The sequence below is a fragment of the Homo sapiens genome, chromosome 3 (genome assembly GCF_000001405.40).
Source record: "Homo sapiens chromosome 3, GRCh38.p14 Primary Assembly".
NCBI classification, from domain to species: Eukaryota; Metazoa; Chordata; class Mammalia; order Primates; family Hominidae; genus Homo; species Homo sapiens.
The window spans coordinates 125,370,137-125,396,068 of record NC_000003.12 but is presented as its reverse complement, the minus strand read 5'-3'; the positions used below and the strand labels follow the sequence as shown (position 1 = coordinate 125,396,068).

The 25,932-nt window shown below is 43.5% G+C and overlaps 1 protein-coding gene, 1 long non-coding RNA gene and 1 pseudogene across 13 annotated transcripts in view, besides 3 other annotated features; 1 reads left to right on the top strand and 2 right to left on the bottom strand.

The window, feature by feature from the left end:
* On the bottom strand, window positions 7,072-7,135 carry RNU6-232P (RNA, U6 small nuclear 232, pseudogene; annotated as a pseudogene).
* On the bottom strand, window positions 9,210-20,643 carry LOC105374080 (uncharacterized). Its single transcript, XR_924427.3, has 3 exons — window positions 19,017-20,643; window positions 11,908-12,126; window positions 9,210-9,300 (listed from the first exon to the last, which is right to left on the bottom strand). It is a non-coding gene; the product is annotated as an uncharacterized LOC105374080 (long non-coding RNA).
* Window positions 20,420-20,469: an enhancer, noted in NCBI's record as "active region_20429". NCBI's record gives its function as "activates an Ori minimal core promoter by ATAC-STARR-seq in GM12878 lymphoblastoid cells {active_cell/tissue: GM12878}" and the evidence as "EXISTENCE:reporter gene assay evidence [ECO:0000049][PMID:35858748]".
* Window positions 20,580-20,849: an enhancer, noted in NCBI's record as "active region_20428". NCBI's record gives its function as "activates an Ori minimal core promoter by ATAC-STARR-seq in GM12878 lymphoblastoid cells {active_cell/tissue: GM12878}" and the evidence as "EXISTENCE:reporter gene assay evidence [ECO:0000049][PMID:35858748]".
* Window positions 20,715-25,932, top strand: part of ZNF148 (zinc finger protein 148) — a 149,686-nt gene continuing 144,468 nt past the window's right edge. For 9 of the 12 annotated variants that reach the window (NM_001348426.2, NM_001348431.2, NM_001348428.2 and 6 more), the window contains exon 1: window positions 20,715-20,967. The gene's annotated coding sequence lies outside the window, so the exon portion shown is untranslated. Of the gene's footprint in view, window positions 20,968-21,359; window positions 21,843-25,932 lie in introns of those variants that run through there. The other 3 variants (NM_001348432.2, NM_001348424.1, NM_021964.3) reach the window with 2 other exon arrangements.
* Window positions 20,960-21,009: a silencer, noted in NCBI's record as "silent region_14666". NCBI's record gives its function as "represses an Ori minimal core promoter by ATAC-STARR-seq in GM12878 lymphoblastoid cells {active_cell/tissue: GM12878}" and the evidence as "EXISTENCE:reporter gene assay evidence [ECO:0000049][PMID:35858748]".

The window sequence follows — 25,932 nt, the reverse complement described above, 5'->3', positions numbered from 1 at the left end:
TGTGGGGCCAGAGGGTTCCAATTTGCTTGTTGCCCGTACCTGTAGGGGAAGTGAACCTTAGCAGGTTTGGTATACAGTGCAGCAACCCAAAACTATTGAAATTAAATGAATGAATTTATATCAAATTGACTCCAGAAATGAGTTTTTAAATTTTAATTTAATTTAATTTTCGTAGAGATGACCCGGGGGTGGGGGTGGGTGGGTGTGGTCTTGCTATGTTGCCCAGGCTGGTTTCGAACTCCTGGCCTCAAGCTATCCTCCCATCTTAGCCTCCCAAAGCGCTGGGCAGAAATGAGCTGAAGTGGCCCTTTAATTTATTTTTATTTTATTTATTTATTTTTGAGACGGAGTAGTGCTCTGTCGCCAGGCTGGAGTGCAGTGGCACAATCTCAGCTCACTGCAACCTCTGCCTCCTGGGTTCAAGCAATTCTCCTGCCTCAGCCTCCCGAGTAGCTGGGATTACAGGTGTGTGCCACCACACCCAGCTAATTTTGTATTTGTATTAGAGACAGGGTTTCACCACGTTGGTCAGGCTGGTCTCGAACTCCTGACTTCAGGTGATTCACCCGCCTCGGCCTACCAAAGTGCTGGGATTACAGGCTTGAGCCACTGCACCTGGCTGGTAGTCAGTTTTTCATATGGTTATACAGAGCCAGCCCAGAAAGAGCTTTGCTTTTTTCATTGTTTTTTTTTATAGGGATTGTTCCTGAAAGGTAGGTCACTGTCATCTAGCTCTGTTTCTTCATGCTTCTGAAGTCTCATGACCGATGCTTCAGTGGGGAAAGTAAGCAGTTGCCTCTGAAAACAACCACGCATAGATCCAAAAGAAGTCAAACAGGTTCTTGTCTCTTTCACCAAATAAGTGCATGACTTCCTTAATAAAAATAAACTAGCTCCCTCTACACTGGCAGTGGAGGTAGCCTCCAAATATTGTACAAGGTGTACTTATACCAAAAAAAAATTATTGTTGATGTTAAATTCAATTTTAACTGGACATCCTGCATTTTATCTGGCAACTATAACTAGGAAGCAAGGAAAAGTGGTGGTGGTGATAGGTTCTGTGTGAGAAGAAGGGAGAGGAAAACGTGGACTACGTGGGCAGGGCCAGTGCCCACTTGTGAAATAAACAGGATTTTTGTGGACAGACGATTTTAGTAAGTGAAGCAGTGCACTCTTGCTGGGTTTGAGTCCAAGACTCTGTGCCATTGAGGGCTGGTGGATTTTGAGTTCTTTTCTTTTCTGCTTTTGAGATCGTGCCTGACAGAGGTCCCTTTCACCCCACTGTCCTCAGAGAATGAGACTTTTCATGCCAGCCCAGATCTATTTGTTCTCTGAAGAACAAACATTCTGAGAAATGGAACATTGAGAGGAAAAAGAAGAGATATGCAGTGAAATGCCTAAAGTATAACCTAATCTGGGCCAAATGTAGCCCACAGGATCCTAAAATGAGACACGTGGGCACCTCCAGCCTCTAATTACACAGGGAGGATGACGCAGATTGGCTACAGCTTGGGTTGCTAGAGAGTACACAAAATCAGACATTTCTTTTCTTATGGGAAGCGGGGAAGCAGTCACTTTGGAGATGATGGGGTGGAGAGAAGGCACACATTTAATTCTTATCAGCATGAACATGTTTATTTCTACCTAATACAGTTTTAGAGATTTAAAGCATCCAAAATGTCCTGTATTTTATGAAATGAAATAAAGATGAAAGAGCTTAACATTGTTAGTTATTAGGGATAATGCAAATTTAAAACACAACAAGATACCACTATCTGCCTTCTACAGTGGCTAAAATTAAAGTACGAAACAAACAAACAAAAAACCAGACAGCACCAAGTGCTGACGAGGATTTGGATCAATAATGCAAAATGATAGCTACTTTGGGAAAGGGGTTTGGCAATTTCTTACAAAGTTAAACATACAGTTAGCATAGGACCCAGAAATCCCACCCCTGTTGGATGAATAACCCAGAAGTACATCAACTCAACTAGTAAATTGATAAACAAATTGTGTTATCTCTAAACAATGGAATACTACTCAAATGAAAAGGAACAAAGCTACTGATACATGCAACAACTTGGGTGAGTCTCAAAAGTATCACGTGAATGAAAGAAGCCAGACATAAAAGGCGATATTTCATTTACACAATATTTTGAAAAAGGCAAAAAACTATAGGGGCAGAAAGCAGATTAGTGGTTGTCTGTGGCTGGGTGTGGGCGAGAATTTTCTACAAAGGGGTATGAGGGAATTTTGTGGGGTGATGAAACTTTGATATCTTGATTGTGGTGGCGGTTATAGAACGGTATCCTCCAAAACTCATTGAATGTATGCTGTAAAAAGATAAATTATATTCTGTGTAAATTATACTTCAATAAACCTGACTTTTTTTTTTTTTTTTTTTTTGAGATAGAGTCTTGCCCTGTTGCCCAGGCTGGAGTGCAGTGGCCTGATCTCGCCTCACTGCAACCACTGCCTCCCAGGTTCAAGCGATTCTCATACCTCAGCCTCCCGAGTAGCTGGGACTGCAGGCATGCACCACCATGCCCTACTAATTTTTGTATTTTTAGTACAGATGGGGTTTTGCCACTTTGGCCAGCCTGGTCTCAAACTCCTGACTTCAAGGCATCTGCCTGCCTTGGCCTCACAAAGTGTTGGGATTACAGGCATGAGCCACCGTGCCCAGCCAATGAACTCAACTTAAAAAAACAAAACAAAACAAAACAAAACAAAAAAAAACTAAGGTATTATTTATTTGAGACAGGTTCTTGCTCTGTTGCCCAGGCTGGAGTGCAGTGGTGCAATCATAGCTCACTGAAGCCTTGATCTCCCTGACCCCAGCAATCCTCCCACCTTCCAAGTAGCTGGGACTGCAGGCTTGTGCCACCACGCCCAGCAAATATTTTTTATTTTTAGTGGAGACGGGGGTCTCATTATTTTGCCCAGATTGGTCTTGAACTCCTGAGCTCAAGCAATTCTCCTGCCTTGGCCTCCCAAAGTGCTGTGATTTCAGGTGTGAGCCACCATGCCTGGCCCTAAGTTTTTTTTTTTATATAATATTGTTGTCACCTATATTAATGTCAGCTAATATTCATTGAGTATTTAATATGTACTAGTCATTGGGCAGCATATAACACAGACACATGTGTGTGTGTTTACACATAAGATGATTTAAAATATGTTAGATGATTATTATGTATATTAGATTATTTTATATACACATGGATAGATATTACAGTGATTAGCAGATGAAACTAAGGCCCAGAAAGGTGGAGTAACTTGCTCTGGGTCACAGAGGCAGTAAGTGACAGTGCTGGGATTTGAGCCCAGTCTCTCTGATTTCAGAGCCATCACAGCTTGCTGCCTTAGTTCAAAGTGTAAGCATAGACAACTCACATATAGCTAGTCAGGGTTTCTCAGCCTTGGCACTGTTGACATTTTGGGCTGGATAATTGTTTGTATGGGGGGTATTCTGTGCATTGCAGGATGTTTGGCAGCATCCCTGGCCTCCACCCACTAGATGCCAGTAATGCCCCTTCAGATGTAACAACCAAAAATATCTCCAGACTTTGCCAAATATACGATGCGGCAAAGCAGTCTCCACACCCAATTAAAAACACTGAGATTTTAGGGTGCAGGACTTCCCAAGAGAAGACTCGCATGGAACCACTGAGAATACGGAAGATCCAGATAATAAATATGGTATATTTGGGTAGCTGGGTTGATGACTTAATTGTAGCGCTTGGGTCCTTGGTAAATCCCTAGAAGTTAATTAACTCTGTGTAAAGCTTATGTGAATAAATATTTATGCACATGGACATAGAAACACAAAGATGAAACTATAATGTTTCATGAAAAATACCCATGCCAAAATGCATGTTTTTTCCTCTTTTGCAGTCACCCTGGGAGGCTTTATGCTTCTGCCAGAGGTACCTCATTCCCCAGGATGGTGCCAGGCCTGCCTTTGGGACCAACCTCTGCTTTGAATTCTCTACCTGTGGCAAGTCTTCATCCTTTTGGAAACAACTAGAAGTTACCAAGGAGATGAGCAAGGTGGACAATCAAATTAGGTGATCATGTTACGGTTTTTCCCCCAAAGAAGACATGACCGTGAAGAAGTAAGATTGATCTTTCTGTGAAGTTTATTCAATGATTATTGTACATTGGTGATTTCCTTAAACAAATCATACAATAATAATACTAACTACCAGTCCCTGAGCACTTACAATGTGCCCTGTAGTCTGCAATATTCATCTCATGGAATCATAAGAATTATCTGACCTATCACCATACACAAAAATTAACTCAAAATCATGAACTTCCTAAATGTAAGAGCTAAAATCATAAAACTTTTAGAAGAAAAATCAGTGTAGATCTTTTTGACCTTGGATTAGGCAATAATTTCTTAGATACGACACTTAGAGCATAAGCAATTAAAAACATATAAATTGGGACCAGGAACAGTGGCTCACGCCTGTAATCCCAACACTTTGGGAGGCCAAGGCGGGCGCATCACCTGAGGTCAGGAGTTCAAGACCAGCCTGGACAACATGGCAAAACCTCGTCTCTACTAAAAATACAAAAAAATAGCCAGGTGTGGTGGTGGGCGCCTGTAATCCCAGCTACTTGGGAGGGTGAGGCAGGGAGAATTGCTTGAATCTGGGAGGTGGAAGTTGCAGTGAGCCAGATAGTGCCACTGCACTCCAGCCTGGGTGACAGAGCAAGACTCTATCTCAAAAATAAAATAAAATAAATAAAAAAGAAACTACATAAGTTGCTGAAGGTCATATAGTAAATAAGAGGGGTAACATTTGAAATCAACCTCTAGGCCACTGGGTCTCAACCAGCAACAAGCAGCATCAGCAACGCCTGGAAATTTGACAGAAATTCACATTATCAGATCCTATCCAAGACTTACTGAATCAGATATTCTGGGGTTCTCGAATTGGGGTGGGGCCTAGAATTTGTGTTTCAATATGCCTTGCAGATAACTGAAGCAGCCAAAGTTTGAGAAGCACTGCGCTGTGCTAGGTGATACTGCCACTCAGAGCCTAAACTAAGGCAGGTGTGTTAAAGATGAAAGCAGAAGACAGATCGGAGAATTATTTAGAAAGTTAAGAGCTCTGGGGCCAGGTGCGGTGACTCACGCCTGTAATCCCAGAACTTTGGGAGGCCAAGGCGGGTGAATCACCTGAGGTCAGGAGTTCGAGACTAGCCTGGCCAACATGGTGAAACCCCATCTCTACTAAAAATACAAAAATTAGCCAGGCGTAGTGGCAGATACCTGTAATCCCAGCTACTCTGTAGGTTGAGGCAAGAGAATTGCTTGAACCCAGGAGACAGAGGTTGCAGTGAGCTGAGGTCACGCCATTACACTTCAGCCTGGGCAACAAGAGTGAAACTGTCTCAAAAAAAAAAAAAAAAGAAAAAAAGAAGAAGAAAAAAAAAAGAGATCTGGGCGTGCCATAATCTCAGCACTTTGGGAAGCCAAGGCAGGTGGATCACTTGAGGTCAGGAGTTTAAGACCAGCCTGACCAACATGGTGAAACCCCATCTCTACTAAAACTACAAAAATTAGCCCGGCTTGGTGGTGGGTACCTGTAATCCCAGCTACTCAGGAGGCTGAGACAGAAGAATTGCTTGAACCCGGGAGATGGAGGTTGCAGTGAGCCAAGATTGTGTTACTGTACTCCTGCCTGGCCAACAGAGCAAAACTTCAACTCAAAAAAAGAAAGTTAAGGGTTCTGTTTAAAAGGCAGCTGGGATTACAGGCATGTGCCACCATGCCTGGCTAATTTTTGTATTTTTAGTAGAGATGGGATTTCACCATGTTGGCCAGGCTAACTCCTGACCTCAAGTGATCCGCCTACCTTGGCCTCCCAAAGTGCTGGGATTACAGACGTGAGCCACTGCGCTTAGCCAAGTATGCAGTTTCTCTTGGCCTGTTTCCTCTTCTGTATAATGCTGATACAAGCCTTACCTTTGAGAGTTGTATTACCTGAGATTATACAGGTAAAGCTTTTAGCATGTTAAGCCTGGACAAATAGGGGCTTAATAAAGGGTAGTTTTTTAGGCCCACATCATCTCTCTCCTGGGCTCACTACTGGTCTTCTCCATCCCTGATCATCCCATCCAAGTGATTCGTTTCTATCTCTGACCCCAACTATCTAACTTTCAGCTCTCTTACTTCATTTTGCTCACTGTGCCTGGTTTTCAGTTGTATTGAGGTTTTGGCCCTTTTATTATCTCCCGTTAGCCCCATCTGCTCCCGCACTCTGAATGGGATTTCTCTCCTCTCTGGCTAGACCACAGGTCTGTCCCTTTTGCCAGTGCCATTGATTTCCTTGACCCATATTCTTTGCAGTGCTGACCTTAGGAAACCTTGAGCTTATTGCGGGTATTTGTTGGCCTTCCCATATTCTACCTGACCTGCTGGATGCTGCTGGAGAAAGTGACGTAACAAGCTGCTCCTTATGGGTCTAATCTCAGAGTCCTCGAGCTGCTCTTAATCTCTTTATTTTCCCTTTTGAATGCAGCCATTTCAAACCTTCTCCAAACTCTTCCGACTTCCTACCACAACACCTTCCCGCTTCCTCTCAGCAGGTGATCTCGTGGTTTACAGAGGAAATAAAAGTGTCTATTGACTTCCTGCCACTGCTTCCATGGATTGACCTCTATCTACTCTTGTCCTCTCTTCTGCCCCTTTGCCTAATACTTCTATTGTGCTTGGGGCCCCTTTTTCAGTCCTGTGACCGCCCATACAGCTTTTTTTTTTTTTTTTGAGACAAGGTCTCACCCAGTCACCTAGGCTGCAGTGCAGTGGCATGATCATAGCTTACTGCAGCCTTGACCTCTTGGGATCAAGCCATCCTCCCACCTCATCCTCTCAAGCAGCTGGAACTACAGGCTCACATCACCATGCCCCACTAATTTTTTATTGTTTTGTGGAAATGGGGTCCCACTATGTTGACAGGCTGGTCCCGAACTCCTGAGCTCAAGTGATCCTCCCTCCTCAGCCTTCCAAAGTGCTGGGATTACAAGTATGAGCCACCACATCCAGCCGGGCCTAGTAGGGGGTGTGCAAATCTTTTCTGTATCATTCCAATTTTAGTATATGTGCTGCTGAAGTGCGCACTCTACTGCCTTTTAAAAATATTATTATTATTATTATACTTTAAATTCTAGGGTACAAGTGCACAATGTGCAGGTTTGTTACATAGGTATACATGTGCCATGGTGGTTTGCTGCACCCATCAACTCGTAATTTACATTAGGTATTTCTCCTAATGCTATCTCTCCCTCAGCCCCCCATACCCGACAGGCCCCGGTGTGTGATGTTCCCCACCCTGTGTCCATGTGTTCCCATTGTTCAACTCCCACCTATGAGTGAGAACATTCGGTGTTCGGTTTTCTGTCCTTGTGACAGTTTGCTTAGAATGATGGTTTTCAGCTTCATCCATGTGCCTGCAAAGGACATTAACTCATCCTTTTTAATGGCTGCATAGTATTCCATGGTGTTTAGGTGCCACATTTTCTTAACTAGTCTATCATTGATGGACATTTGGGTTGGTTCCAAGTCTTTGCTATTGTGAATAGTGCAGCAATAAACATACGTGGGCATGTGTCTTTATTGTAGAATGATTTATAATCCTTTGGGCATATGCCCAGTAATGGGATTGCTGGGTCAAATGGTGTTTCTAGTTCTAGATCCTTGAGGAATTGCCACACTGTCTTCCACAATGTTTGAACTAATTTACACTCCCACGAACAGTGTAAAAGCATTTCTATTTGTCCACATCCTCTCCAGCATCTGTTGTTTCCTAACTTTTTAACGATTGCCATTCTAACTGGCGTGAGATGGTATCTCATTGTGGTTTTGATTTGCATTTCACTGATGACCAATGATGATGAGCATTTTTGCATATGTCTGTTGGCTGCATAAATGTCTTCTTTTGAGAAGAGTCTGTTCATATCCTTTGCCCACTTTTTGATGGGGTTGTTTATTTTTTTCTTGTAAATCTGTTTAAGTTCTTTGTAGATTCTGGATATTAGCTGTTTGTCAGACGGGTAGATTACAAAAATTTTCTCCCATTCTGTAGGTTGCCTGTTCACTCTGATGATAATTTCCTTTGCTGTGCAGAAGCTCTTTAGTTTAATTATATCCCATTTGTCTATTTTGGCTTTTGTTGCTATTGCTTTTGGTGTTTTAGTCATGAAGTCTTTGCCCATGCCTATGTCCTGAATGGTATTGACTAGGTTTTCTTCTAGGGTTTTTATGGTGTTAGGTCTTACATTTAAGTCTTTAATCCATCTTGAGTTAATTTTTGTATACGGTGTAAGGAAGGGATCCAGTTTCTTTCTTTAATCTCTTTTTTCTATAAATGCCTATCCAATAACTTTTATTTATTCTTATTTTTATTATTTTCTTTAGAGATAGGGTCTCACTCTGTCTCCTGGGCTGGAGTGCAGTGGCACAATCTTGGCTTACTGCATCCTCCACCTCCCGGGCTCAAGTGATCCTCCCACTCCAGACTGCCAAGTAGCTGGGACTGCAGGTGGGCATCACTATTCCTGGCTACTTTTTTTTAACTTTTTGTAGTGACAGGGTTCTTGCTAAGTTGCCCAGGCAGGTCTCAAACTCCTGGCCTCAGGTGATCCTCCCTCCTTGGCCTCCCAAACTGCTGGGAGGCATGAGCCACCACACCCGGCCCCTGATAACTTTTAAATGCATTTAAATCTCTTTCAAATAATAATAATAATAATAATAATAATAATAATAATAAACCGCTATCTGATTTTGAGTCCATTCCTTCCTGCAGCCACTCTATCACTATCCTTCCCTTTATATCTAAGCCTCTTGAAAGAATTGTCTGTGCTTTCCACCTCTACTTCTTCCATTCTGATTCACTCTTCAGACCTTCATCATCTGGCTTTGCCTCCACCCTCTGCTAAGCCAGCTCTCTCTAAAATAACAAACGCTGCTCCTTGTTGCCAAATGTCCTGGACGCTTGACCACTCTATGACTTTTAACACTACCGACACATCCTCTGTAGGAGGCTGTTTCGAAAGCAGCTCACAGTGATCCCCACCTCCTGGTATTCACTCCCTTTTTTAATCCCTTCCTTTTGTGTGGGCTGAGCCTAGTATCTTGCTTCTAATGACTAGAATAAGACAAAAGTGAGATGGAATGACATAGCACTTACAAGATGAGGTTATAGAAGACTTGCTCACACTCTTTCATGGATTCTCCTTTCAGGTTTGCTCTGGTGAATGAAGCAAGCTCCCATGTTGTGAGGTGCCCTATGGAGAAATCCCCATGAGAAAGATCTGAGGCCCTCAGTCCAGCAGTCCTTAGAAAACTGAATCCTGTCAACAATTGAAACAGTTTGCCAATAGTTTGAAAGAGGATCACTATCTAGAGAAGCCTGCAGATGAGACCACGGCCTTGAGTGACACTTTGATTACAGCCTTGTAAGAAACCCTAAAACAGAGGACCCAGTTAGGTAGCGCAGGACCCTGTATCCACAGAAATAGCATGTGGTGTAACAAGAAATGTATTTGGTCTTGGTCTCTGGTTCTTGGCACAGAGCTCCTAAAGCCCTTGGTATTTCATGAGTTTCTTTTGTTATTCATAATGAACCCTTTTTGGTCACATCTGAGTTTATATTAATGAGGTAACTTGCCCCTAATAGCCTCAGGATGGGGCTGGTCACCAGAAAGACCAAGTGATTACAAGGTTAGAACTTTCAGGCCTACCAACAGACTTCCTGGAAGGGGCTAGAGATTAAGCTCTTTGAAAACTCTTGCACAACAATAATAGTGGGATGACAGGAGGGTGGTGGACCCCAACTCCACAGGGACAGAGCTCCTGTTCTTGGGATCCTTCCAGACTACACCCCATGTATCCCTTCATCTGGCTGTTCATCTGTTCTGATAAAAAACAAACAAACAAACAAAAAACAACAAAAAAAAAACTTCATGTAGTGAGCCAAGATTGTGTTACTGCACTCCAACCTGGGCCGCACAGCGAGACTGCATCTCAAAAACAACAACAACAACAAAAAAAAAAAAAAAAAAAAACTTCAGCCAAATTAAATTTAAAGGAGTTCAATTGAGCAATGAACGATTCACCAATCGAGCAGCCCCCAGAATCACAGCAGATTCACAGAGACTCCAGTGCAGCCACATGGTGGAAGAAGATTTATAGACAAAACAAACAAATAAACAAACAAAAACAAAGGAAATGACATACAGAAATCGGCAGTGAGGTACAGAAACAGCTGGATTGATTACAGGATGGCGTTTGCCTTATTGGAACCCAGTTTGAACACTTAGGCTATGAATGAAGTATGGCCACTGGGATTGGCCAAGACTCAGTTATTGTAACAGGCACATACTCCTAAGTTAGGTTTTCTTCTTTCTTTTTTTTTTTTTTTGAGATGGAGCCTTGCCACGATGCCCAGACTGGAGTGCAATGGAGCAATCTCGGCTCACTGCCACCTCTGCCTCCCCGGTTCAAGTAATTCTCCTGCCTCAACCTCCCGAGTAGCTGGGACTACAGGCGCACGCCACCATGCTCAGCTAATTTTTGTATTTTTAGTACAGATGGGGTTTCACCATATTGGCCAGGCTGGTCTCAAACTCCTGACCTTAAGTAATCTGCCCACCTCAGCCTCCCAAAGTTCTGGGATTACAGGCGTGAGCCACCACGGCTGGCCACTCCTAAGTTAGGTTTTCAATTTTGTCTGACTATTAAGCTAGGTTACAGTTCATCCACAAGGACTCAAATATAGAAGTATGGAATCTTTCTCAGGCCATATTTAGTTTGCTTTAACAGTACCCTTTATGATAAACCATAAACGTAAATAAAGTGTTTTTCTGAGTTCTGTGCCCCATTTTAGAAAATTATTGCACATGAGGAGAGGGTCATGGGAAACCCCAACTTATAGTGGGTGGATCAGAAGTACAAGAGGCCTGGACTTGAGATTGGCATTTTAGGTGGGAGCAGTCTTGTGGGATTGAGCCCTTAACTTGTGGGATCTGACCCAAACTCCAGGTAGATTGTGTCAGAATTGAATTGTGGGACACCCAACTGGTGTCAGAGCATTTTCAGTGTGGAAAAAAACCCTGTACACCTGGTGTTAGCAGTGTTCTGTGTGACAGTGTAGAGAGACAGAGTTTGTTTTATCAGACAGTGAGATAATAAATGTGTTTTGCTTTCAGCCACTAAATTTTGGGGTAATTATTTTAAATTTATTTATTTTTGAGATAGAGTCTTTCTCTGTCACTCAGGCTGGAGTGCAGTGGCATGATCTTGGCTCACTGCAACCTCCGCCTCCCAGGTTCAAGCGATTCTCTTGCCTCAATCTCCTGAGTAGCTGGGATTACAGGTGCCCGCCACCATGCCTGGCTAATTTTTGTATTTTTAGTAGAGTTGGGGTTTCGCCATGTTGGTCCGGCTGGTCTCGAACTCCTGACTTCAAGTGATCCTCTCACCTCAGCCTCCCAAAGTGCTGGGATTACAGGCATGAGCCACCATGCCTGGCCTTAAAATGTATTTTTAACTGACACATAATAATTATATATAGTTATGAGGCTGGAATAAGTTTTATACAGGAATAGATAATAAATATACCTCCCTTCTTAAAACTACTCTCCCATGAATTTGCACAACTGCTTTTCATTCTAACTCCATCAATTGCTCTCTTTCCTTTGTGGGCTCTTCTACTATTGCTGTTTTTCAGCTCCTGCTGTTTCCCCAAGGTCTTCTCTTCATCTCTGTATACATTTTCTTGCTGGTCTCATCCATTCAAATGCCATCTATAAGCCAGTGATCCCTCAAGTTTATATCTGTGGCTCTTTGGAGGACCAGACCCATATATTCAACTGCCTAAAGAGAATTCCCACCTGGACATTGCTCTCACAAGACACGGACTCAGCATGTCAAAAAAGGAACTTGTCACTTCCCATCGGACTCTGTATCCTTCTGTGTTTCTTGCCTCAGTAAGCCACAATCACCCGGTTGCTCAAACCAGAAACCTGAGAGTTGTCTTTGTTTTTTCAACAAATATTGATGGAGCACCTACAATGTGCCAAACTGCTTTAGGCTCATGGATAGTGACATTCCTGTGGGAGACAGACAATGAGGATAATCGACTATAATAGTATGTTAGAGTGCTGCACACACACACACACACACACACCCATACACACGTCTCACAGTAAGTGCTGTGGGGAAAAACTGAGCAGGCAGAAGAATGTATGTCACAGTACATGAGTTGTAACATTAGGTGGTGAGAATAGACCTCTCCAAGAAGGAGACACTTGAAGAAAGAGAGGTCTATGCTATGTGAATATTTGGGAGAAGAGCATTTCAAGAGGGGACAGTGAGTGCAAATGCCTTGACCAGTGCCTTAACTGGGGGTTTGGGGAACAGCAAGGTGGCCAGTGTGGCTGGAACAGAGCGAGACAGAGGGAGATTTTTAGTGATGAGGTTAGTGAGGCACCCAAGCCCAGGTCATGGACAGCATTCCTGGCCATTGTAAGAAGCCTGGGCTTTACTCCGAGTACAATAGGAAGCTGTGGAGGGTTTGCAATGGAGAAATCACATGATCACTCTGGTTACTATCTTTAGAGTAGGTTGTAGAGAAACTATTCCTCTTATTTTTATCTCTTAGCCCCCAAATCCTACTTTTCTCACTAAACCCCATTTATTTTACCTCTTAAATATATCTTGAATCCATCTAGTTCTCTTAATTTCTATTTTAACTACCTAAGTCAAGCCAACAGCAGCCTTCATTGAATGATTCATTCAGTCAGTCATTCAACGAATACTTACTGAGCAGCTATTATGTTCTAAGCACTATTCCTATTCTCTATGCTTGGAACACAGCAATGAACAAAAATAAAAAAGAAAAGAAAAAAGAAGAGACCAGCCTATGTGGAGCCTACATTTCTCCCTCAGATTTATTGCTTTTTAAAGAACTTCACTTAAGTTGTCTTAGGAACTTATTTGGTTACTTGCTCATTGTATCCTCTCCTCACCAGAGTGTAAATGTTGTGAGATCAGGCACATTATCAATTTTGTTCACCAGCCATATTCTCAGTGCGTAGAATAGCACCTGTTACATAATATGTACTCAATAAACACTAATTGAATGAACAAAATACTGCAACAGACTCCTAATTGGTCTGTTTCCAGTGACTTTTAAACTTTCTTTGACTTTGACCCACAGTAAGAAAAATATTTTGTGCTGTAACCTAGTAACACTTACACACATGCATACATGCTTATAGATGCATATGTAAAATTAAAAGTATTGTTACATGTGATGCCATCTGATTGTATGTGAAGCCGTCTGATAATATTTATTGTATCCTATTATGTTTTACTGAAAAAAAACTCTGCCAGTTACAACTTAAAGAAAATTAAAAAAAAAATTTTTTTTGAGATGGGGTCTCACTGTGTTGCCCAGGCTGCTCTTGAACTCCTGGGCTCAAGTAATCTTCCCACCTCAGCTTTCCCAGTAGCTGGGATTGCAGGTTGCACAACTGCACCCAGCACAACTTTAAATTTGATTTCAGAATCCACTCATGTGACTTAACCAGAAGTTTGGCAAATACTGTCCTTATCTATTCTCCACAACCAGAGTGCTCTTTCTAACCTAGAAGTATTCTTATGTGACTTCCCTACATAAAAGCTTTCCATGGCAATCTGTCAGCCTCAGGCATTTTTGCCCAAACGTCAGTCATTCATGGTTGTTCATGTACCAACTATAATCTAGGTAGTATTCTGTCAGTTGAATTACTTTTGTCAGTCAACCTCATCCTAAGCAAAAATATAAGATAAGCAATGTGTTGCATGTATGAAATAGATCTATATCTATCTATCTATATATTTTCTATGCGTGTTCACCCCATTAACTACAAAAATTAAAAAAAATAGTATTCTGTGTACCATCTAAGATCTTCTTATCATCCAGCCACACTTTGGGAAAGACTGTTCTTGGGATAAAGGAAGGTCAGATACCTCAACTAAGTCCACAAGGCACTCTGGAGCTTGCTGGTGCTTTCCACTGCAGTATCATTTTTTTTTTCTTTTTTACCACTTCCTGCATGCATTCATTCGGAATGACTCGCAGGTGCCTGAACACACTGAGCTCCTTTTGGCACTAGGACTCTGCATATGCCATCTCCTTCCTCTGCTCAGGACTCCACCAGTACCACCCCCTTTCATGTCTCAGCTAAAATGTCATGTTGGGGAAGCTGTCCTGGCCCGGGGCTGCACAGGTCCTCTTCCAGTGTCCTCCTCCAGCGTCCGGTGCTCATCTCTATATTAGAATGTATCACCCTGCAGTGAAGCAGTTTATTCACCTGTTTTACTCCACCAACTGATGGTTGTAAGCTTCTGGCCTAGAAGAGTATTTTATTTACCACAGTATTTCTGGTATTTAGTATAGTCCCAGACATTCAATAACAATTTGTTTGATGAATAAAAGAACAGATGTACGGATTTCTCAATGGACTGAATATCCCTGACACTCAGCTCATTGCCTGACACATACTAGGTATTCAAAAACCACGATTGAGCAATTGAAAGAAGTGAGGGCTCATTCTCACCCTAGCTACATTATCTATTTACTTATTTATTTATTTTTTGAGATAGAGTCTTGCTCTGTCACCTAGGCTGGAGTGCAATGGTGATCATAGCTCACTGCAGCCTCAACTGCCCAGACTCAAGCAACCCTCCTACCTCAGCCCACCAAGTAGCTGGGACCACAGGCATGCATCACCACACCCGGCTAATTTCATTTTTAAAATTTTTCTTGACACAGGGTCTTACTCTGTATGCCCAGGCTGGAGTGCAATGGTGTGATCATAGCTCATTGCAGCCTTGACTTCCCAGGCCCAAGTGATCCTCCCACCTCAGCCTCCCAAATAGCTGGGACTACAGCCATGTGCCACCATGCCCAGCTAATTTTTTGATTTTTTGTAGAGATGGCGTCTCACTATGTTGCTCAGGCTGGCCTCAAACTCTTGGGCTCAAGCGATCCTCCCACCTCCCAAGGTGCTGTGATCACAGGCATGAGCCACTGCGCCCGGCCTCCTCCATTAGTTTACAGCTTCTCATGAACTTAGAACGTGTCTTAGTCTTCTTTGAACCTTAACACTGTGTTCTTACACAGCTACATACTTTTCTTCAGGAAGTGTAAAATGGTTGCCTTCGTGAAAAATCAAGTAGGAAAGAAAAGGTAAAACAGAGTTAACCCCAATGCTTAATTCTTGTGTCTTTGCCTGTTTTGACCTTTTCCCCATATCTTCCCCTGTGTCCCTCCAAACCACAGTTACTGCACAGCTGATAGGCTTTAGTGCAATCCTGTATCTGTTTTATCCCTTTTGTGGTGCCATTTGTAGCTCTTGGCATGTGGGTTTTAAATAAATATTTAAGCCGAATATTGGCAAGTTAGAAAGATAGTAATGGAGGGAAAATGGACGCTTTTTCTCTGTGTTGAATTACTACATATAACAGGGTAGTTTTGATATACTTTGATGAGCCCAGAATTCTCACATGCTTTTTAATTCAAATCATATTGAGAGTAAAAACAAGAAATAAAAAAATCATTTCTGCATTATATTGCACCATCTTGGCAATAAGCAAATTGTGAGATCTCTGAACACTCTGGGATGGTAAAAATTGTTATTATTTCTCTCTTATGAAAACCCACAACTTTAATACATGAATAGTTAACTTGTCTTCATTCTGGTTAAACTTTGGGAAAGAAGAGATAGGCACTTGATTCACTGGTGTTGGCCGGATAGAAAGTAGCAAGCATCCTTAAAATAGACCAATGTCATCAGCCTTATAAAATTGTTGAGGCAAAGATTATGCTCAGAAATAAAATATCTGAAAAATGGCAGTTTTTTTTTGCAGGTTAATTTTTTTTCCTAGTGCCATCTACCTATTGCATACCCTTTTTATTCCCCATGGAAAACATTCTGAAAGGTATTTTCCCACCTAAATCACCTCTCTCAACATGTTCTTTTTTTTTTTTTTTTGTCCTTGTATAGTTTCTCTTCTTTTCCTCACCCCAATCCACTTGTAGAAACTGATGTCTTTTCTCTATTGAATTTTATTTTTAGGAAATTTGGTTCAGTGTTACCTTTAGGTTATTTTAAATAGTAATAATAGCAACTACAATATCAACACCACATAGAACATTTAACTATGTGTCAGTTATTGTTCTAACTGCTTTACATTGCCAGGTGTGGTGGTTCATGCCTGTAATCCCAGTATTTAGGGAGGCCGAGCTGGGAGGCTCGCTTTGAGGCCAGGACTTTGAGATCAGCCTGGGCAATACTGCCAGATCCTATTGCTACAAAAATACAAAAATCAGCCAGGCATGGTGGTGCACACTTGTAGTCCCAGGTACTCAGGAGGCTGAGGTGGGAGGATCACTTGAGCCTGGGAGTTTGAGGCTGCAGTGAACTATGATTGTACCACTGCCTTCCAGCCTGGGCAACAGAGACCTTGTCTCTAAAATAAATAAATAAATAAACAAACACTAAACTACTCTATGTTAATATTTAATAGCCATAATATCCCTAAAAAGAAGGTACTATTCTTAGCTCCATTTGCTAGATGGGGCACTTGACAGCACAGAGAGGTTAAGTAACTTAAGATTGCAAAGCCAGTAAGTGGTAGAGTCAGGATTCAAACCCTGGCTTCAGCTGCAGAATCTGTGGACTTAATCACCAGACTAACCTCTAGGCACTAGTAGATATTATCCTCATATTATTTATTTTTTCCTTACCCACAAATATCATCCTGGCCCAAGACCTCATTTTCATTCATTCTTATGTATCTTGGCCTTTCAGTGGTGTCTTCCCTTGTGCCCCTCTAAACCATAGTTATCTCACAACTGATGAACTTTAGTGCAACCTAGTACCTTCTTTAGATGTTTCTAAGAGGTGCAGGGTTTTTTGTCTCAAACTCAAGAAATTACCTCCACTCTATATCCTCAGCAGGAGACAGTAGACTATTCATTAGTTTTAGAATATATCAGCTATCTGGGATGCCCTTTGCCCTCCAGCGGAGGGCTAGGTAAGAGAGAATAAACAAAAAAGCTAAGAAATTTCTGGCAAATAACCTTTCACCTAGGTCCCCAACCCTTCCATTTCCCCAGGCCTGAAGCATATCTGAAGCAGGAATTCAGGGGGTCCCAGGATGTCCCAGGAAAAGAACTCCTTTAGGAACAGGAAAAGCCATATTTTTCTGGGTACAGTAGGAGTGACGCAGTAGAGGCAGGTTCTTGTGGATTAATCTGTAGCAAAGCTATGAATTTAGAGTTTTGCAAAGAAAAGGACAAGTTTATCCTTAAGGTAGAACCAGCTTTGACGAATGGCTAGTGCTGCAGGGAGCCATAAGGATAGAGAAGACAGAACTTCCATCTAGTCTTGAGTCTGAGAATACTAGAAAAAAGGAAGGAAAGAGATTACTAGAGGAGGGTCTGAAGACCTGGTGAAGCAGGAAAGAGATGGAAGTACATTCTTCTCCTGGAAGGAGTGCAAAGACCAAGCCTCAGAACTAATTCCAGAGCCAGAAGAGAGGAAAGAGGCCTTGGGAGTCCCTGAGAATCTCACCTGTCAGAACAGCGGTGCCAGCCTCTATGGGTTAGGTCACATCAGAGAAGATATACCGGGGGCTATGGACTTAATCTGGCCCACAGGCATGTTTTGTCTGACATGCTTTTGTGTTCTTAAAAAAAAACAGAATGAGTTGTCAACATTTAATATTTGTGAGGTTTCACCCCAAAACTCAGATTCCTGACTTCTCTTGATTTCCTAAATATTACATTCCCCCTTGGAAACCATCAGCTGGAAGTGTCTGTGCCCTTTAGATTTGCTTGAGCTGTGGACCTTTATGTTTAGGTTAAAACATCAATCTCAAAAGTTTACATGCTGTATGATTCCACTTAGATAACATTTTTGAAATGATGAAAGTATAGAGATGGAGAATAGTTTAGTGGTTACTAGAGGACAGGCATGGAGTTGGGTGAGCGGTTGCAGTGCGGAAGGGGATTTGTGAATACCAAAAGGTAGTATGAGGGAGTTCTTTTGTGGTGATGGAACAGTTCTATGTCTTCATTATAGGAGTGGTTACAAGGATCTGTAAGTGAGGTAAAGTTGCATTGAACCACACACACACACACACACACACACACACACACACAAAACAGAACACAGGTTAAGAAAATGGCAAGTAATAAGTTCTGAAGTCTATAGTAAACAGTAATGTACTGTTGTCGATTTCCTGGTGTGAAAGTTGTCACAATCAAAATGGAGTTACTAATGTTAAGAAACCCTGACAAACAGAGCTAGGGAAGGCTGCCTACGAAGAGAGGGTTCTTACATTTGTATACCTGATAACAAAAACTATCAAAAAAAGACTGCAAAACCCACAACCTTGCACAAAGGCCATCACAACCTTACATAAAAAAATACTTCTGCAAGGACATCTCCCCAGCAAATGCCTGTCCAACCTCGGACTGGCGTCACCCTTGTTATTGATCTTTGTAGTCAAGGATAATTATTTCAAAACAATTATGTAATCCTTTCCATTTTTTCCTTTAAACACCTTTGTCTTCCTTTACATCCCTGAATATGCGGTTAACTGTGATGTGTATATTTTCATTGCAATGCTCTATTCCCAAATAAACATTATTTTCTTTTAGAAAGCCTCTCTGTTATTTAGGTTGACACTGATTTTGATGTCTTACTAGAGCTTTGTAAGATGTCACCATTGGGGAAAGCATGGGACTCTGGACTATTTTTGCAACTTCTTGTGAGTCTATAATTATTTCAAAATAAAAAGTTAAAAAAAAAAAAAAGGAAAAGTAAGTAGGCTGAGTACCTACGGGTGGTGTTTAGGGAAGTGAGCAAGAGGAGCATGGAGAGCCAACCTGAAGCTGAGAAGTTTTTCCAGTTTAACTTATAAAGGACCTAAGCTTGCTCCTCACCATCGCTTTTGCTGTTACTATCCCTGTAGTGCTCTTCGTTCTGCCCATTTTAGACAGCTGTTTCTCTATCGCTTGTTAGGCTGCTGAGCAGAGAACTAGATCTATTCCTAATAGCAAACCAATCAATCCTAGCCCATTGGATGTAACCTCCAGGCCTTGAGCCCTTTTCAGTTATTAGTTTTCCCACTGCCTAATACTGAGAGTCGGCTTTCTTGCTGCCAGAGGTGTTTTTCATTATGACGTCTGAATTTGATGCCACTGCGGGTGCTAGAAGTTGCCAGAAGGCTGTCCTCCAGATAACTGTCCCTTGGCTCTAACTTGTGTCATTGTTTTGTTGCAATTAACATTCAGAATATGTGCGGTCATCTTATTAAAATTTATATTTTTTAATGGAGAAAGCACACAGAGAGAGTTGATTGTGGAGCTGTGGTTTACTCTTGCTCTTAGTTACCTGTGTCTAAATTAAGCTGAACCTCTGGGCCTTAGCTATTTCTAAACAGGCATCACGATTTACTAAGGTTAATGCCTGAGGGAACATTAACCTTGCAGACACTAATCTAATTCAGTGTCATCACAAGTGCATAATGCAGGAGTTTGGAATTTTGCCAAAAAGCACTATTCAAATGAACATTTAGTTGGCAAGGGGTGGGAAGGCGGGTGTGGAAAAGGGAAGGAGAACACCAGAAATGGCTCTATAGATATTTTCATGCCTTTTCTTTTCCCTCTCCCCTCAAAGGTTACGTTTAAGTATTGCAGAGAGGCGCTAAATGGAATCTTCATATTATTATGAAGAAATCCCAATGAACGCGTTTTATCCCACGGCAAGTTCCAGATGCTCACAATTACTCAACATTCACTGAGCATCTTTTATGTTATATGGCTGACCTTGTGCTAGGGTGTGTACACAAAGATGAGTAATTGTAAACGATGGCAGTATGCAGAAGCACCTCAGGGCGCCTAATGTTAGCTGACGAAGGCACCATTAAGGAGGTCACAGTTTGGCTAAAGGGCCCCCAAAGGATGAGACAACTGTGTAATCCTAGCTCTATAGAGATCATTACCAAGTCTTTGCCATACAAAGTTTGGGCTTCAGGTGAAATGAGAAGGGCAAGGTTCTGCCCAAGAGGGTCCAGGGCCGGATCTCTTGATCTGTGTCTATGCCCACACCCTGCATCTCAGCTTGCAGACACTAATAGGGTTTGCCAGTTTCAAGGGCGCAGGGCTACATCTTCCGGAAAAGGTGGCATTTGAAGGTGGTAAGAGGCCAACGACTGGAGGTGGCGGCGAAGGGCTAGGTAAGACAGAATAAATGAAAAAGCCAAGACATTTCTGGCAAATAACCTTTCACCTAGGTCCCCGACCCTTCCATTTCCCCAGGCCTGAAACGCTCCCGAATCCCCGAGTCCTCCACTTTCCAAGCGCTGGGCATTGGTTAAGGCTGTAGGAGCAGGGAGTCCCCCGCTCTAAGAGAGTTCCTCAGTTCCGATCTTTTTCAAACCGCTTTCCTCCCAGGCCCAGCCTGGGGGGCCTGCGGCTCGGGTCCAGCTTCCACGGCCACCCTGGGCTGGTGACACGCAGGCGCCGGAATCGAAGCCACGCTGTGTCTTTCCAGCCAGGTCTCTGCGCCAGACGAGGGCGGGCGCCGCGGAGCGCTTCCCGTGTGCGGGGCTTCCCACAATGCACCGGGCCGGCAGTGGCGGCGACCGCGGCGGCGCTCTAGCTGCGGCATGTCTGCGTCTCTACTGCTCTGGGAGGAGGAAGAGAAGGAGGAAGAGGAGGAGGAGGAGGAGGGGGAGGAAGAGGAGAAAGGCGCAGGGGTGGGAGCTGTTGCCGAAGCTGCCACAGCAAAAGTTCTCCCCCCTCCCCCCTTCCCCTCCTCTCAAGGCCCCTAGAAAGGTTGGAGCTGCCGCCGCCTGCAGTCGGTGACCGCGCGACTCGGCGCCCGCCCGCGGTAAAGCGCTCGGCCTGGCAGGCCCGGGCCCGGGGGAGGGCGGGGGAGGGGGAGGGGGCGGCGCGCGGGGGGAGCGCGCGGCGGTAACGGCCTGACCCCGGGGGGAGCGAGCCGTGGCGAGGCTGGGGGTGGCCAGGGGGCCAGCCGAGGCCGAGGGAAACGCTGGGGCTGGCTGGGGGACGTGAGGAAGCAGGGCGCGGAGGGTGGGTTGGGGGGTTGAGGAGGGATAATGACGGGGGTGGCGGAGGCGAGAAGGCGGCCTCCGAGGCTGGAGGCGGGTGTCAGAGGTAGGGGAGGAGGTGGGATGTTTGCACGGGGAGGCCGGAGGGTGCTGGGTGTGGGTGTGAAAAGGCTAGGGAGACACCAGGGCTCTGTCCACCGTGCCTGGTGCAGTGCTTTATGCACCGCAGGCCTCAGTCACTGTTGCTGCCGGAGTGTGCTCTTTGGGAGAAGGGAAGGGCAGGGGTTGGAGAAAAGGGAATGCTTGCAGGAAACGTAGTGGGAGTGCGAACAGGGCGAGGGGCCGGAGGAAAGATGCCGGAGAGGTGGAGGAATGCGGGGAGGTGGCTGTGGAGGAGTCTTGAGGATTCTGGGGGGTGTTCATTGTGCAGATACGTTAGGTATTTCATTATGGAAAGAACTGAAGCGTTTCTCAGGGAAGGAAAGAAGGGAGATAGGAGTTCCCGTGAATAGAAAGGATCGCGTTTGAAGCAAGAGGGAGTGCTAAATAGTAGAGAAGATGCAGGGAATGCATAATAGAATAGACAGATGTAGTATAATTAATAAATATTGGCCTAAGTACTGAAGAGTTATTCCAGATGGGCCGGGATGGCCTAGTTCCGAACCTGTGTGGGCTGTTCAGTAGATGACATCTGGTAAGTGTGGGTCTGGGCCGTGGTTGGGGTCACTGAGAATTAGATTTTAGTCTGTAGTTTGGTCTGTGACATTTTAGACGTGCACCAATGAGTATGAGAACCTCTGAAGCAGACCTTGAGAAAGGGTCTGGCCTGTGGGGATTCCTTAGGCTATGGAGCTTCGATTTTAGAAAATTTGAAGTATTAACACTTACCCGAGGTTGGGTAAATACTATCCTGGCAAACGCTGGAATGGAAATTAATTGACTTGGTGGTTTTCTTCACTGCCCAGTTTATCTGGTCCAGGAGAATTGGTGCCGTATTATTCAGCCTGGATTGCAGTACACAAGATTATAATTAATGGTCGGGGGGAAGACATGCTTGCTGGCTCTTCTTTAGATACTTCATTTGTAGCTCAAATTAGTTGGCTGGATTGGTTCCATAAATCTGTGGCTGGTGGGAGATCTTCTGCCATTCACAGTTCCTGAAGTGAACTGTGAGGGAGTTCTCCAGTGAGAGAATACTCTCATTCAGGCATGATGGCATTGAAGAAAACGTATCAGCCAGCAAAGTGTGGGCCTGCAGAATGGAGGAGCTAGAATATCTGTTTTGGTTTTAGGTTGCAAGGAGGTCAGGACTAGTTATCAGAAGGTCTAGGGGAACCTAGGAGACTGGACGACTCTAGAGCCAGGTTGGAGGGAGGATTAGCATCTCTATGTCAGGAAATGAACCAAGCTCTCTCTGGATTTGCTGAGCTCACACCAGACCAGATTTCCAAGAGGGAACTCTGGGCTAGAACCATACTCTTAAAAACTACCCGGATATTATTCACCTTTTATTAAGAAAAAACTATATACAGCTGGGCGCGGTGGCTCACACCTGTAATCCCAGCACTTTGGGAGGCCGAGGCGAGCGGATCACCTGAGGTCAGGAGTTTAAGATCAGCCTCGCCAACATGGTGAAACCCCATCACTATGTGAAACCCCACCATGCCAGGCTGGTGTCGAACTCCTGGCCTCAAGTGATCCGCCCGCCTTGGCCTCTCAAAGTGCTGGGATTACAGGTGTGAACCACCATGCCTGGCCAGGTCTTTTTTAAACATAGTATGCTGTACTCAATTTTATTGTCATCATGGCATGAGAAGGCTAGTCTTCCTTCCCTTTTCCCTCACCAGCACTGTATATTATCTGTTCTTTTAATTTTTGTAAGCAGAATGCACTTAAATATGTCATTATTGTCTTTCTACCCTTTTTAAAAAAATTTTTATTTATTTATTTTTTTGAGACGGAGTTTCACTCTTGTTGCCCAGACTGGAGTGCAATGGCGTGATCTCGGCCCACTGCAACCTCCACCTCCCGGGTTCAAGCAATTCTCCTGCCTCAACCTCCCAAGTAGCTGGGACTAAAGGTGCCTGCCGCCACCCCTGGCTAATTTTGTATTTTTAGTAGAGATGGAGTTTCTCCGTGTTGGTGAGGCTGGTCTCGAACTCCTGACCTCAAGTGATCCACCCGCCTTGGCCTCCAAAGTGCTGGGATTACAGGCGTGAGCCACTGTGCTCGGCCTCTACTCTTTTATTATAAAATTGTTCTGAGGGAACTTACAATGAAAAACAGCAGCCCCTGTCTCACCTGCCTATTGCAGTTCCACTTTACTGAGGCTGCTACTTTTAAGCATTAATTTTGTATTTCTTACCATGCTTTTTTCCATGTCTCCAAGTAATGGGCATATAATATTATTTCTTGATTTATCAAAATGACATTATCGGAGTCAGAAGATGTTTATGAATGTGTCATTGACATTATCCCCTTTCTCCTCCTTTCTGACCTTTGATATTTATTTTAGTTATTTTATTCAGTGTGTTTATATTTTTAAATAATATGCTTAAACCTTGATTTTAGAATCCAACAATCTTAGGCTGTATCTCTTGATTTCCCCATTGTATTTTAGGGATTTAGCCTAGGTATGGCTTTCCTGAAGTAGAAAGAACATTGACAATTAGACTAAAAATGCTGGATGAGATGATAAAGAGAAGTTTGGATGGACCTATCAGAAAGACCATGTTGTAGGAACCATCTTTGCAGTGTAAGATTTGCTTGTTAGAGATGAAGAGGAGTTGCTTGACAATGATAGTTGTTCATCTTGGAATTAGTTACCAGATTGCAGTATTTTTTTTTTTTTTTTTTTGAGACGGAGTCTCGCTCTGTCACCCAGGCTAGAGTGCAGTGGTGTGATCTCGGCTCACTGCAAGCTCTGCCTCCCAGGTTCACGCCATTCTCCTGCCTCAGCCTCCCGAGTAGCTGGGACTACAGGCTCCCACCACCACGCCCGGCTAATTTTCTGTATTTTTAGTAGAGACGGGGTTTCACCGTGTTAGCCAGGATGATCTCGATCTCCTGACCTCGTGATCTACCCGCCTCCGTCTCCCAAAATGCTGGGATTACAGTCATGAGTCTCCGCGCCCGGCCTGATTGCAGTATTCTTTGACAGTCTTCTGGAGAGTTTTAGTGTGGGAAATCTGGAAATGCATTAAAATGACCCTTGAATGTTTTTTCTAGGGTTCTGTGGCAATTCTTTTTTTTTTTTTTTTTTGGGACGGAGTCTAGCTTTGTCGCTCAGGCTGAAGTGCAGTGGCACGATCTCGGCTCACTGCAACCTCTGCCTCCTGGGTTCAAGCAATTCTCCTGCCTCAGCCTCCTGAGTAGCTGAGATTACAGGTGCCCGCTACCACACCTGGCTAATTTTTTTGTGTTTTTAGTAGAGACAGGGTTTCACTGTAGATGGTCTCGATCTCCTGACCTCATGATCTGTCCGCTTCGGCTTCCCAAAATGCTGGGATTACAGGCGTGAGCCACTTCGCCCTGCCCCCCCCCCCCCCTTTTTTTTTTTTTTTTGAAACAGGGTCTCACTTTGTCACCCAGGCTGAAGTGCAGTGCGCATGTTCCCAGCTCACTGCAGCCTCCACCTCCTGGGCTCAAGCAATCCTCTCACCTCAGCCCCACAAGTAGCCGGGAATACAGGCATGAGCCACCACTCCCAGCTAACTTTTTTTGTATTTTTTATAGAGACGGGGTTTCGTCATGTTGCCCAGGCTGGTCTTGCACTCTTGGGCTCAAGTGGTCTGCTTGCCTCAGCCTCCCAAAGTGCTAGGATTACAGGCGTGAGCCACCGTGCCCGGCCACAATTCTTATGTTTTTATTTTTAGGAGGTAATGGATTGGCATATACATGTGTTTTTTGGGGGGATGTAGTAGGGAGAGATGGGAAATGTGGTAAGAGGAGGATGAGGATGAGGAACAGGGTTTGATGGAGGTGGTGATACATTTTGAGGAGGCTGAAGAAAAGGTAAAGAATTTTGAGGGGGATTTGGATATAGTTAATGTGAAGGAGGTTTACCTTATGGTGATGAGACTAAAATTTTTGTCATTTTTAAGGAAATTAGCATGTTTAAGTCACTAATATGTTGGGAATGTGGTAGGAAAAAACTATACTGGGCCCAATCTCCTCTGTTAGGTTAGAGTCATAAAATATTAATGTTTTTGAAATTTGTGTATGAGGTGCAAATCACTATGGTGGATGTTGGGAGATTAGAAAGATAATTACTCCACTTCTTTTTGGGAGTCTAAGTAATGGCAACTCTTGAGAGTCTTCCTTACTTTCAGTAGTAACAGTATTCACATGTAGTTTATGTATTGCTAAATTTTGTATTTGTGACAATTATTCTCTTTGTTTTGCAAATGGTACATTGTAACCTGTTCTAGAGCAGAGACTTCCTGTAGTCTCTAGGGAAACTAACAGCAGGTTGATTCTTAAGTGCTTAATAAATACCTGTTGAATGACTGATAGAAAGTAGTGTTCACTGTTAGTGATAATAGTGGGATTGTATGAAATTGCTGAGTACTTTGGGGGTATTGTAGGCAAAACTGTGTGTGTGTGTGTTTGACAGCGTGAAGGACAAAAGGGATATCTGGAGAGGACCTTTAGATTTAAGGGAAGAAGACAGACTGGATTAGAATGGAATTGCAGTGGTTCTGTAACAACTTGGAAGAGGTGGGACCAAGGGGTCTCTTCTAAATTTGAAGCTAGTTTAATCTGGAGTAAAATCTGGTCTGTAG